Raw genomic sequence first — 15100 nt, forward strand, 5'->3', positions numbered from 1 at the left:
TGCCTTCATCTTAACATGGCATTTTCCCTACATGCATGTCTGTCTCTATGTCCAGATTTTCCCCTTATAAGGAACAGCGGTCATATTAGATTGAAGTTGTCAAATAGAAATTGCACCTAGCAAATTAAACAGGTGAGGTTAAGGTAGAGTTTTTTCAAAGGCTATTGCAAAAGAGGTCAAGACTGTGGTAATAGGGGACAAATTGGACTCAATCATGCAGAAATAAATGGCAAGAGTTTTCAGGCCCTGGGGTGAGCTAGTGGAAAAGTACTGTAAGACATTACAGGGAAGGTTAGTTATAGTAATTAGACCATCTGTATTTGCTAATTGGTGTTTATTGAAGTTGGGCCCCTCACTTCCACAGAGACTGGGAAATAGGGGCGTTATCCTTTTTGATAATTATATTTTAAAGAGATGGTTCCTGGGTCCTTGAGAAAGACATTCCTGGGGTAGAAAACTGGCAAGAAGCTGGGAGAAGATTTACATCCCAAAGGACAGGCGAAAAAAATTACAATAACAAGTTTTCTAAGTAAATCTAAGAAAGGGATTCCAGGGGCCTAGAGTCAGGAAGAAACTTGTCTAAAGTTTACCCAAACTGAGAACTGCTAAGGCCTTCTTAGTCAGAAAGCATCAAATGACATCATTTTTTTAAATAATTTGATTTCCTATGTAAAGACACTGTTTTTACATAGTCACATTCTGAGGTACTGGCATTAGAACTTCAACATATCTTTTTTGGGTGGACACAATTCAACCTATAACACATGGATATGTAATTTACTTACAAAGAAAAGTAATTCTAAAATACTTGAATTCTTAACATTTGGTTATATTTTAGTAACAGAATTGGGAAAGATTTGCAATAGAAACATATAAATTTAAGTGCCAAACTGAAAGCTATTTTTGATATTCTCTAATGTATATACGTAGACATTTTATGAAAGAACTAATAACAAGAATGAAAAGTAAAGTGTTTACCCATTATAATAACTTACATCACAGAAACAAACCATATAGAAGAAAATCGTATATGAAACACATAAAATCTGAGTATATTATCAAGGTAATACAAGGCTATCTTTCTGCAATAAACTTTAGCCAAGTTTTTCAATATGAACAAATACAAGCAAAACAAATTTAATTAGCATTTAATACACTTAAATAATGGTATAATTATAAAAATAACCTAAATTTACTTCTTAAGCATCAGATCTATAGGCCCTTCTCTTAAAAATTTCAATTCAAGCTAGATGCAGCAGCTAATGCCTATAATCCTAGAACTTTGGGAGGCTGAGGCAAGAGGATCACTTGAAGCCATGAGTTCAAAATCAGCCTTTGCAACATATCAAAACCCAATTTCTACAATAAAAATAAAAATTAAAAAATTAGCTAGGCATGGTGGCACATGCCTATAGTCCCAGCTACTCAGGAACCGAGGCAGCAGGATTGCTGAGCCCAGGAGTTCAAGCCTGCAGTGAGCTATCTTCTATTATTGAGCCACTGTACTCCGGCCTGGGTGACAGAGGAAGATCCCATCTTAAAAACAAAATAATTTACTCATAAGTTATGTGGATGAAACCTGCAAAATTTATGTTTATCATATACCAAGGTAATATTATTAGTGAATTTTAGCCAACACAAATTTCAAAGCCCATTTAAGGAAAACTTCAAAGGCAATCTTCTATTTTTAAATGGTAAAAAAATAAAAAAAGAATCAACATGTGGAGAAGTATAATTCTGCAGAAGTGCCATGGATTTGGCTATATCATATGTTATTAGAGCTGTCTGAGAAATTTGTAAAATAGTTATTTCATGCAGTAGAAAATGATGTAAAATTATCTAAATAATGATAGCCTTTGGAAATCATTTAGTAATATAACTTCTAAATAATCCTTTCTACGTAATATATGTATTGAACATTTGTAATATGCTAAGCATCAAAACTAAAATACTGTCACCGCTTTCTATCAGGGGTCTTCTACATTGCTTGGTAGATAATTTTAGAAACTGGCCGCTATTCCAGATATAAAAGCAGAAAGTATTAGTAATAACTGTGGTATGTCTGTCCACATAATTCTAACATAAAATATATTAAATTTATTGTAGGACTAATATATTTATTTGGATTTATTTTGGAGACAGGGTCACTGCCTATATATAGGGTATAAACATATTTTCTTGAGTTGAGATCATTCCGTGGGCCAAACATAAGGGGTAATACAAATCTCTCAGCTAAAAAATGTGGACTTGAGTTGGTAGTCTATAACATGAAAAAAGACGAGTGCTATTCTCTTGAAATTGCTCAAGAGAAATTTGTCTTGATATCGCTGGGAGGCTAGTTTCACTAGGGTAGTGAAAAACCTAGCCATATGGAGATGTCCTGAAAGCTAAAAAATAAGAAGAAAAGAAGCTGACAAACTTCTGCCACTCCTGGAGCCTCAGAAAGTTAATCACACTGTTTTCCTGGACTTTCAAACCATAAAATAGCATTGAAGACACAATCCAAGTTATAACCATAGACTTTATATAATACTGTCAAGTTACCATTAAGTTGAGCATTTTGTAGTGAAATTCGTGAAACAATACAATTTTCAAATGTATAGTGAAGAAAAAGTTACCTTAATGTCAGTCAGCACATATTAAATCATGTAGCATTTTTATAAGTAGATGCATAAGAAAAAATACATTATTTTTCAATAAGCCCATGTACTTAAATTTAAAATTTTTGTACAACATGCTGAATATTTATTCTATTAATGACATTTACAATACCTTTATCACCTCTTTCTCTCATTTTTGCTCTAAATAATTAAGTTGGACATTTTATCAAGTTGATAAGTTGACATAACTTAGTCTCCATTAATAGTAATTGTATTAGTCAGGGTTCTCTAGAGGAACAGAACTAATGGAATGCAGATATATATATATATATATATATATATATGAATGAATGTATTAAGTATTAACTCATAGGATCACAAGGTCCCACAATAGGCCGTCTGCAGGCTGAGGAGCAAGGAGAGCCAGTCTGAGTTCCAAAACTGAAGAACTTGGAGTCTGATGTTCCAGGGCAGGAAGCATCCAGCACAGGAGAAAGATGTCGGCTGGGAAGCTAGGCTAGTCTCTCTTTTCACATTCTTCTGCCTGCTTATATTGTAGCCACGTTGGCAGTTGATTAGATTATGCCCACCAGATTAAGGGTGGGTCTGCCTTTCCCAGCTCACTGACTCAAATGTTAATCTCCTTTAGCAACATCCTCACAGACACACCTAGTATCAATACTTTGTATCCTTCAATCCAATCAAGTTGACAATATTAACCATCAGTAATAATAGCAAATATTTATTGAATGCTTATCAAGTAAATTTCATTATTCTAAAGACTTTCCCTACATTGTTTTATTCTTCGTATTTTAGATTCTTTAAAATGAAGAGACTGACACATGGAGAATCTGAACATCTTTTTTAGGGTCTAACATCTAGTTTGTGTCATATACAAGATTTACATCCAGAGGATCTATGTATTTTATGGTAGAAATTCTCAACCTTTACACATAGTGTTTAATGTCCGCAAGTATAACACACTAAAATTGCATTTTTTTAATGCTTAGCACCCCAAATTTCAGGCAAGTAGAGCACTACAGAAATTCTTAATCTTCAAGATTCTTATACTATTTTGGCTCATTAGAGGCTGTAACAAAACAGGACAGTTTAGAGGTCCCATTTCACGTGGATAATATTGTTGAGTTTTTTTGCTTGTGTCTCAAGGATGACACTAGGAATTCCAATCGGTAAATTACCCAAGGAATTGATGCATTACACTATTGTTTAATCTAAAACAAATAACTAATTGGGAAACTGAAAGAGGTACACTCTTGCATCTTACTTTAGATATTTGAGGTCATTTGAATACCATCTAGTACCTATCAAACTTTACAATGTTATTTGTGTTTCCTTCTATTTGGTTTAGCAATTTAAAATGTTTATCGTGTAGGTAATTCCTGAGTGTGTGTTTGTTACTATGGCAGGTTTATTTTTTTTAGCCTGTAAGTTTGTGTCTTAAATATTATTTAGTATGCCTTAGTTGAGATGATCTTTTGTTGAGTTTTTGTAAAAGGCAAATTTTAGGCCAGGAGCGGTGGCTCATGCCTGTAATCCCAGCACGTTGGGAGTCCAAGGCAGGTGGATCACATGAGGTCAGGAGTTCGAGACCAACATAGTGAAACCCTGTCTCTACTAAAAATACAAAAAATTAGCTAGGCATGGTGGGAGGCGCCTGTAATCCCAGCTACTTAGGAGGCTGAGGCAGAAGAATCGCTTGAACCTGGGAGGTTGCAGTGAGCCAAGATCACGTCATTGCACTCCAGCCTCTGGACAACAAGAGCGAAACTCTGTCTCAAAAAAAAAAAAAAAAAAAAAAAAGAAAAGAAAGACAAGTTATAAAGCCTATACATTTGCAAAGGGGAAAAATCTGATAGTAAAGAAACTTTCAAACAATAGAATTTCACTTTCAATTTCTCCTAGCCACCCACTCGGACTCTGCAGGGGCGATCACTATTAATAGATTTTCGAGTAACTTCCCACAATATTTTTGTACATATATGTATTATTTCTTCTTTTCATTTTTATATTGTGGTAAGAAAACTTACTGTAAGATCTACCCTTTTAACCAATTTGTAAGTGTATTTGAACAGCATTGTACAGAAAATCTCTAGAAATCATTCCCACTGCATAACAGAAAATTTATACCTATTGAACAGCAACTCCTTATTTCCCCCTCCTCCTAACACTTAACAACCACATTCTACTCTGTTACTATGACTATTTTAAATACATCATATAAATGGAATTATGTAGTATTTTTCCTTCTTTCCTTGCCTTATCAAGTAACTAAATGAACTAAGCATAATATCCTCCAGGTTCATCTACATTGTTGCAAATGGCAAGATTTTCTTCTTTTTATAAGGCTGAATAATATTTCATTGCATGTATATACCACATTTTCTTTATTCATCCATCCATCAATAGACATTTAAGTTGTTTCCAAATCTTGGCTCTTGTAAATAGTGCTTCAGTGAATATGGGAGTGCAGATTTTTCATTGAGATCCTTATTGCAATACTTTTATATACACCCAGATGTGTGAATCATATGGTAGTTCTAATTTTAATTTTTTAAGGTTGCTGATTTATAGACAAGAAAGTGGCCTCTGTTTTGGAGAAACATCTAGTCCATTCTGGAGGACAGTTATATGAGTACATTGTAACAATTCACTGTGACAAGGATGTTTAGCAAATAAATAATTCCTGTGAAAGCTAAGAACAATCCACTCATAATATCCTTAATATTGGCACAATTTGATGTGAATGGCACATATTATTTTTCACAGAAGTTTCTGTGTGTTGGACTCAACTTTACATTGTTTATAATTTATAAATGCTTAAAACAATTAAATTTCATCACTAAATTGCATTACCCTTGCGACTTCACAGTCTCCCTCAATGGAATTCTTACCTTTTAAGTTTCAGGGAAAATGGTGCAAACAGGCTTGAAATGCCTAACATGTGGGTAGACCGATCACAATCCTTAATTACTTGAACTCTCCCCATCTTGATTGCCAGATTTAGTGTAAAAGGGTATCCTCTCTGTCTAGGATCCATATCCATCCAATTTATGGCTCTTAACGCTTTGCATTTCTTCACAAACCTTACGTAAATTTCTTCAGCAAGCATTTCTTCACAAACCTTATGTAAATTTCTTCAGCAAGCATTGGCTACTGTACCAAAATATGAAAATATAAGTTTGAGATGAATATATCGATCTTGCCATAATTCAGTTTATATGCTGGTAGGATAAACCAACATTAAAATATAATACAATATTAATTTGAATATATTTGTTGAAATCACCATAAAAGTACAAGGCTATTTCTACTCATTTACTTTTCACATTTATTTATTCTATCTTTATTATATGTATGGTTTCATTTCTTCACTATACAGATATGTTTAGGATATAAACAAACTCTATTTTGTCCATCTTATAAAGAAAACATATATTTATCTCAATGGAAAAGCAAAAAAAAAAAAAAGGACTCTTTTTAGCTATGTTCCTATTTCTCTGTTCCCCTGCAAACCACCCTTCAGACTTTCAGACTCTGTTGATCACCTTTCAATGCTTGGTTTATTATATTTTCTTTGTTTTTTCTACAACACTCACTAGAAATCACTTTTATTACAGAAACACATGTCCTATAATTTTCTGTCTGTGAGCATTGCAAGATTTTGTTTATATAAAATCCCAGCATATTAGATGTAATGCTATTTTTTTGTTTTTAACCCAAGAAATTTCAATAAAAATAGCAAAATAGAAAATTAAAATAGATATAACTCAGATCAACTCTAAATTACATTAAAAATTAAAGTACTTGCAAAGCTTCAACAGAAAAGAAATGACATAAGGAAAAAAAATTGTATTACTATTAGCCAAATATTTAAAACCAATTGTGGAATGATAAAAACCTCTTTCAAATTCTACTTTAACTATCACCATAATTTAAAACATCTGATGGCTAAGAATGGTGGCTCATGCCTCTAATCCCAACAACTTTAGAAGGCCAAGGCAGGAGGATCACTTGAGTCCAGAAATTTGAAACCAGCCTTGGCAACAGAACCCATCTCTACAAAAAAAAAAAAAAAAATTAAAAATAGCTGGGAGGGGACAGGGTGCACCTGTTGTGGTCCCAGCTACTCAGGAGGCTGAGGTGGAAGGATAACTTAAGCCTAGGAGTTTGAGGCTGCAGTGAATTATGGTGGCACCACTGCACTCCAGCCTAGTTGACAGAGTGAGATCGTCTCAAATAAATAAATAAATAAAATAAAATATTTGCCCATTAAGCCTTGGAAACAATCCTTTCTTCTTTTATGTGTTTGCATGTATGCATATGTGTGTGCATTGTGTGTGTATGTGTGTGTGTTGTATACCATAGTGGCCTCTATTTTTAATAGCTGATAGGTGCATAAACTTTGGTGTTAGCTCCCCTAGTGAAACGAGTATTACGTCACATTTTGCCACACATTTTCTAAGAATGTTTAAGATTCAATGTTTTTATCTGAGAATAAAGATAAGACATATATGAATTCTACTAGAGTATTGCTAAAAATAAGCTCTCAAAAATGGCAATTTTTATTTTTACAATGATTAGGGTTTTTTAAAATATAATTTGTATTAATAATATTAACAAAAATTGAAATACCCTTAAACCTATGTTTTTCTGTTGGAAATGTTGTGGTTTTATTTCCCAGATATTTAGACCTTGGATCTTAGTGCTCTAGGGAAGGTTATGATAGTTGTGATAGAGACAGGAGAAAGCCAAATGCCGCCCAGGTCATTGTGCACAGGGGGCTTGCTTAAGCATGCCCGTTGTGAAAAATTCAATCTCTTAACACATGTGCGGTAAGGGAAAGCAATCAATGTGGAGTGGCTCAGACTAAAAGCCCACCTGTGCAGTGGGAGAAGGGCGTGGAGCCACCGGGAATTCGCACCTTATGCAGTGGGGAGGAGCCTGGCCTGTTGAGCTCCTGGGTGGTGGCCTGGTATTCAATCTGTGAGGTGGGAGGCTGTTGGCAGGACCCCCTCTTTTTTTTGCTGAGCACTTTCTTTTAATAAATTCTGTTCTCCTAACCTTTCAACATGTCCATGTGTCTAATTTTTCCTGGTCATGAAGACAAGAATGAAGATTTTAGCTAAACTAAGGAGCAAAAAATCCTGCATCATTTGCACCATAAATAAAAGAAATAAAAGTAACCATTTTTATAGGGAGGAATAAAAGTGAGAATTGAGGCATAGATAAATTCTGCTTATTATTATCATCATCATTATTTTGTGAGAAAACCAGGTCCCACACAGCAGAGATGAGTATCAGTGGAAAGGAAGTAATGAAGTACTGATACATCATGTAGATTAAGGTGAAATATCAAGGAAGACTGTATGCCTTCTCTACCTGCCTTTTGAACCCCTTGAGAGAGACAATGAGCCAATAGGTATATTGTGTGTGTTAGAAAAGAAACTATGCTTAAAATAATGGCTTAGTATGTATAGAAGTGAATCACTAGAACTGGCTGTATACCACGTCTAGGAAGTGATGTAGCATATTTAGGACAAGCGATCAAACATAGCACTCCTCACACTATCCCTCTCCTCTTATGTGGTTTAGAAAAAATCCAGAAGTCCTCACAAGTACCAAGTATATGATGTAACAGGCATCTGGATTTGAGGTTAAGAAACTCAATTTCATAACTGTATGAAAGGGTGAGGTAAACTACCAGTGTAAGCTGCAAGTAGATAGTCTAAGCCAATGGCAAGAGTTAAGACTCAAATGATCTGTATTGCTAATGGTATCTGAGATAAGGGAAAATGATTAAGAAGGAGACAACTAGGAACTAACATACTAAGAACACTTGCTTTAAGGTGCACTAATTGCAGAAACTATAGCTGTCACTTTATTGGAAATGACCTGTTGTCTAATGAAATCTCAGATTATCTTCAATGTGGCCAAGGACTGGATTTACATCCTATCATTTTGTGATATTTGACAACTTATTTATACTCAGAGTAAGGAAGATTCTTTACCTGTAATATGAAAGAAGTAATTTGTACTTTTCTCCAAGATGGCAGATTAGAGGCTTTTAGTGTGCCTTCACCACTTGGAAATAGCAAAATAGGGCATAAAGATAAACTCTGTGAGCTTTAATTCAAGAAAAAAAATGGGAATCTGCCAGAATCATGAAGGATACCCAAGGTCCCAGGGAGAAGAATGCAGGCAAATAGCCCCCATGGTGACTTCCAGATGATAAAAGTGACTGAAGCTCCTGTATGTGAGAGAGGCAGATAGCTTTCCTCTGTGACTTACCTTTCCACAGGGGATCCTAGTAACTCAGGCCAAGGAACAGCACTTTGTTTCTCCTAATCCCTATGGCTAACTTAAGGAAAGGGTTGGAGGTGTCATAAGGGAAAGACATCAGAAAAAGCTGCAGACATTTTCTGAGACTCAGGACCCAGAGCAGAATGCCATTTTTAATGTGGGTTCACACAAAGTCAGCCATTCTTTGGTGACCCAGCAGAGTGAGCATGCAGCCGTTTTAGTCTTTTGCCAGAGATTGGAGTGCCTGCTCTGGAGTGGTATAGGTGTTTTCACAGCCAGAACTCCAGAAAATGCATCATTAGTGAGTGTTGGAATTGTGCTTGCCCCTTCCATGGGCCTGAGGTGGGAAAAGAGCTGCTACAGCTGCAGTTTCTCCTGGGCAATGAGAATTGCAGCCAAGGCCAGCTTGGAAACCTGGAACAGGTCTACTCCCTTAAGATTGTGGTGCTCTTCTGCTCTACCTACAGACAGAAATCCAGGCATTAGAATCACCTGCTTGCATGGAACAGTAGCCTGAGCCACCCCACCTTTCATGGACACAAATCATGGTGCAGCAGGGCACTCTGTGCTTCATGCCAGGGCAGATCTCCAGGCATTCAGAGAACCTGCTCACCTGGTTCAGCAGCCTAAGCCATGCCACCCTTCCTGGGCATAGATCCTGGGTCAGGGGGTCCCTCTCCACTTCCTGACCAGGCAGAACTCCAGGCATTTGAAGCATCTGCTCACATGATCAGCAACCAGAACAGCACCACCTTTCCTGTGCATAGATCATGGTGCAGCGGAGCCCTCTGCTCAAAGCCCAAGCAGATCTCCAGGCATTCAAAGTACGTGCTTGCCCATATTAACACTCCACCATTCCTATGCAGAGTTTCAAGTGCAGGTGGGGCCCTCTCTGCCCCATACCCGGGCAGATCTCCAGACATTTGGAGAACCCACTCTCCTGTATTAAGAATATAGGCCACCCCTGTCGCCATGCAGATAACTTGGGGCTGAGGAGGTTTTCCAACTCTACACCTAGACTCACCTGTGGTCACTTGGTGGTCACTTACTGAATTCTCCCTCAATGCTCATGCTTGTGTTTGCCATCAAGGGACCTGTAGGCAAATATATGCCGTCTGGCCCTGCTCAACTTGCCCCATATCCCCAGGGCTGAGAAGGGCCCTCAAACCACTGTGCACTCCATGAATCAGCCTGAGTTCACAGAGAGTTTCTCCCAGTAAACAAGGATCAGGTATATACCCAGCCTTGTTGGTAACAGGACTCTTACCATAAGCCCAATCTAACTGCAGAGATCATTATAAATCCTACTGACAGAAGCACACAGGTTGTAGAAGCAAAGCCAAAAGATCATACCCAGCTTTCTCTGTAGTCAAACACCCTAAGGAGAGGGAAAACCAGGTAGGAAAAGAAGAAAATAAATAATGAAGGGAAAGAAAGAAAAATTCTACTCAACATAAAAATTATTGCAAAAATTAGAAGTGTCAGCATCTCCAGATGAGAAGGAACCAGAACAAGAATTCCAGCACCATGAAGAATATGAATGTAGTGACAACACCGGAGGATCACACTAGTTCTCCAGCAATGATCCCTGACCAAAATAGAACTCAGAAATGACAGATAAAGAATTCAAACTGTGGATTGCAAGAAAGCTCGATGAAGTCAAAGGAAAGGTTGAAAATCAACATTAAAAAAACTTCTATAGCAATCCAGATAATGGAGGAAAAGATAAACATCTTAATAGTAAATCAACTAGAGCTTATGGAACTGAACAACTCACTTAAGGAATTCCAAAATATAATTGACAGCTTTATCAATAGCCTGGACCATGTAGAGGAAAGAATTTCCGAGCATTCAGAGCAATCATTCAAAATAAATCAGTCAGACAGAAATAAAAATAATTTTTAAAAATGAACACAGTCTTCAGAAAATATGGGATTCTGTAAAGTGGTCAAACCTACCAATTAATTAACATTCCTAAGAAAGACGAAGAAAAAGAAAACATCCTGGAAAACATATTTGAGGAAATAATTCAAGAAAATTAAGAACATTTTCCTAATTTTGCTAGAGAGGTAAACATCCAGATACAAGAAATCTAGAGAACACCTGTGAGATACTATAAAAACAAACTTCATCAAGACATATATAGTCACTAGACTGTCCAAGGTCAATGCTAAAGAAAAATAAATTAAACACAGCTAGAGAAAAAGGTTAAATAATATTCAAAGGGTACCCCTAAGGCTAACGGCAGATGTCTCAGCAGAAAAATTACAAGCCAGGCAAGATTATGGTCTTATTTTCAACATTCATAAAGAAAAGCAATTCTAACCAAGAATATTATATCCTACCAAACTAAGCTTCGTAAGTGAAGGAGATAATAATCTTTCCCAGGCAAGTAAGCACTAAGTGAATTCATTACCACTAGATCAATCTTACAAGATATTCTTAAGGAAGTTCTAAATGTGGAAAGGAAAGAATGATACCTGCTACCACAAAAATATACTGAAATACATACCCACAGACCCTACAAAGCAACCAAACAATAGAAACTACAAAGTGACCAACTAATAACTTCATAATATGATCACAACCTCATATATTAATATTAATCTTGAATTTAAATGGTCTAAACACCCCCCACTTAAAAGGCATAGAGTGGCAAGTTAAATTAAAATCATAAGACCCATCCATCTGCTGTTTTCAAGAGTCCCCTCTCCCACGTAATGACACCCATGGGCTCAAAGTAAAGGTTGGAGAAAGTCTGCCATGCAAATGGAAAACAAAAAAGAGCGAGATCACTATTCTTACATCAGATAAAACAGAATTTAAAGAAACCAACAATGGTAAAAAAGGACAAAGAAGGACATCACATAATAATAACTGGTTCAATTCAACAAAAGACTTAATTATCCTAAATATAACGCAACCAATATTGAAGCACTAAAATTTATAAAACAAGTAATTCTAGTCCTTTGAAAAGACTTAGACTACCACGCAATAACAGTGGGGAACTGTACAACCACAGTGACAGTGTTAGATCACTGAGGCAGAAAACTAACAAAAAAAATCTGGACTTAAATCCAACTCTTGACCAACTGGATCTACTAGATATGTACAGAATACACCATCCAACCACCACAGAATACACATTCTTCTCATCTACACACAGAGCCTACACTAAGATCAACCACATGCTCAACCATTAAGCAAGGCTCAATAGATTAAAAAATAAAAATTTCACCAACCATTCTCTCAGATCATGGTGGAATAAATATAGAAATCAATACCAAAGATATCTCTGAAAAATCATGCAATAACTTGAACATTAAACAACTTGCCCCTAAATGGCTTTTGGCAAACAATGAAATTGAGGCAGAAATCAATACATTCTTGGAAATAAATAAAAACAGGAACACAACATACCAAATCTCTAGGAGGCAGGGTAATTAGTATTAACAGAAAAGTTTGTCATGCTAAATGCCTTCCTTAAAAAGTTGGAAAGCTCTCAAATTAATAATCTAACATTACACCTACAGAAGGTAAACAACCAAACTTACCCCAAATGTAGCAGAAGGAAAGAGATAAGTAAGATCTGAGTAGACATGAACAAAAATTGAAACCCAAAAATTCACACAAAGAATCAATGAAATCAAACGTGATACTTTAAAAGTATATACAAGATTGACAGCGACAGCTAGATTAACAAAGAAAACAAAAAAGAAAACCCAAATAAGAGCAATCAGAAATGACAAAGGTGACATTATAACTGATCCTACAGAAATACAAAAAAGATCTTCAGAGACTAATATGAACTCCTCTATGGAGAAAAACTAGAAAATCTAGAGGAAATGGATGAATTTCTGGAAACACACAAGTAACACATCTGTACATGTGCCCCTGAATCTAAAATAAAAGCTGAAATTATTGAAAAAAAAGAAAGAAGTAATTAGCTCAAAAACCTTGAGATAAAAATATTAATTGAATAAACAGTGTCAATTCATTTAGCAAACATTATATAATTGAAAACATCAGTACATTCAAACAGAGGTACGGCTAGCTTGATGAGGTAAAATAAATTATGACTTTAAGGATTATTAGGAGTTAGCTCGGTCAATACAAAGCGTGGGCTGAAAAGAAGCTTTCTAGGAATGTAAAACAGAATAAAGATACCAGAGTTTAATGCATTATGATATGCCATTAATTTAATAGAATTGTGCAGAGAATTCAGGGTATTAGAGAGATTGCAGTTGTATGTAGGAGCTTTGGTTCTCGGACTAGAGAAAACTCATAATTAGACATATTAGGTAAATTAGCCAACGTTATACAACTATGTCATATTTCAACACTGGATGATAAAGTTACCTTATTAACCTTGAAGTGTGATTGCCTTTATTAATACTCTTGGGCCTGATAGTAGATCTCCAATGTTTAGAAATTTATGAGACAAAATCTTGATGCCATATTTTTATTAATATACTTGGAGCTCTTGGCAAGGTGTCTTAGTGTCCATAGAGTCTAAGTGATGAATAACCCTAGGCTTACAGCACTTCTGGTCAGATGTGTATCTTCTATTCTCTATGAATTTAAATTACCCTCTGTTGGACTACAGAAAACAATTATTCCTAAGTTAAATTAAGTCCCTCCAACAATTTTTTTAATTAAAAAAAATTCTATATCTGATCCTTTCTTCATATATCACATACTACCCCCCTACTCCAAAACAGAAGATCTCTCATGCAGGCTTGAGCAATAATGTCTTCCACTCCTGGTTTATTATAATTCGTTTTCTTAAAGCAACTAGATTGCATTTTTAAAAATACCAATCAGACAATCTTCTCTCTCTCTTTCTAAATGCCTCCTTGGCCTTCCAGCCTACCAGGAATAAAAGCTAAAATTCTTCCTGTTACCCACTGTGCCCTTCATAATTTGTTTTCTCATCTCTTAAATTCTCCCACTGGTTTATTTTTCTCCAGACCTAGTAGACATCTTGCTGCTCCTTAAACACATAAGGCGTGATCTGTCAGCAGGGTCTTTGCACTTGTTCTTCAGACTTCTGGAAACGGTTTTCTCTAAGATATTCCAACATGTTCTTTTTTACCTTTAATCACATCTCAAATTCGTACCTCTTCAGAGATAGATTTCTTTATCATCTCACCTAAAAATGCACCCTTTGCATATCTTCTTCCTTTATTGTAGATGACAACATACGCTAATTTGCATCTCCTCAATGTTTGCGATATCCATAATTCTAAAAGAGAAAGAAATAAAGAAAATATGATGGTAGAGAGAGAGAGAGAGCTAAACTAAATAAAAGCATTGAGCGAATAACACTAGCATTTTTGAACTATATTATTTTATTGGGAGTGAGTAAACTAGGAATCAGGATAGACAAGTTTAGTAGTTTCCTGGCAGAAATTTATTATGTTTAATGTTACAGTTATTTAACTTCATGCATTGATGAAAGAGTTGGCAAAGGTTCCTGGCCCATACACAATGTTCCAAAAAAATTGATAATAAAATGTTACTCAATTACTTTTTTTATTAGACCCATGGAAACTATGCCATTTTAGCAGTCCATGGTCATATTAAAAAGTAGAAGTTATCGTATTTAATGATTATATATATGTGTAGTTTGCAGTTTGTTTTTTGTTTTGGTTGTGGTAATAAATTTATATTTTAGTTCCTAGAAAAAAAAAAAAAAAAGCCCGGTAACTAATTATTTCCTGTTAACATTCTACTATATCACCAGACCCAATTTTTAGAAAACAGAGTAATCATAGTCTTAGGTTACTGTCTAAAGCAATTCTTCAAATTATGAATTATTAACTTAGAAAATCTTTCCATCCATAGTACAGAATTATGCCAGTGGGTGAACCTTGAATACAGGTGTGACCCACTTTATAATCAGCAAAGTAAGTACATTTTAAAAGACTATTTACTCAGGTTTGTCAAAGATCAGATAGTTGTAGATATGCGGCATTATTTCTGAGGGCTCTGTTCTGTTCCATTGATCTATATCTCTGTTTTGGTACCAGTACCATGCTGTTTTGGTTACTGTAGCCTTGTAGTATAGTTTGAAGTCAGGTAGTGTGATGCCTCCAGCTTTGTTCTTTTGGCTTAGGATTGACTTGGCAATGCGGGCTCTTTTTTGGTTCCATATGAACTTTAAAGTAGTTTTTTCC

At 35.6% G+C, this 15100-nt stretch overlaps 1 long non-coding RNA gene across 1 annotated transcript; it reads right to left on the reverse strand.

Moving 5' to 3' along the window:
- Positions 1-1501: 1501 nt before the first annotated feature.
- LOC105374702 (uncharacterized) lies at positions 1502-14233 on the reverse strand. Its single transcript, XR_001742624.2, has 3 exons — positions 14074-14233; positions 5513-5774; positions 1502-1536 (listed from the first exon to the last, which is right to left on the reverse strand). It is a non-coding gene; the product is annotated as an uncharacterized LOC105374702 (long non-coding RNA).
- Between the last annotated feature and the right edge of the window lie 867 nt (positions 14234-15100).

Source organism: Homo sapiens, chromosome 5 (assembly GCF_000001405.40).
Source record: "Homo sapiens chromosome 5, GRCh38.p14 Primary Assembly".
In the NCBI taxonomy this organism is placed as follows: Eukaryota; Metazoa; Chordata; class Mammalia; order Primates; family Hominidae; genus Homo; species Homo sapiens.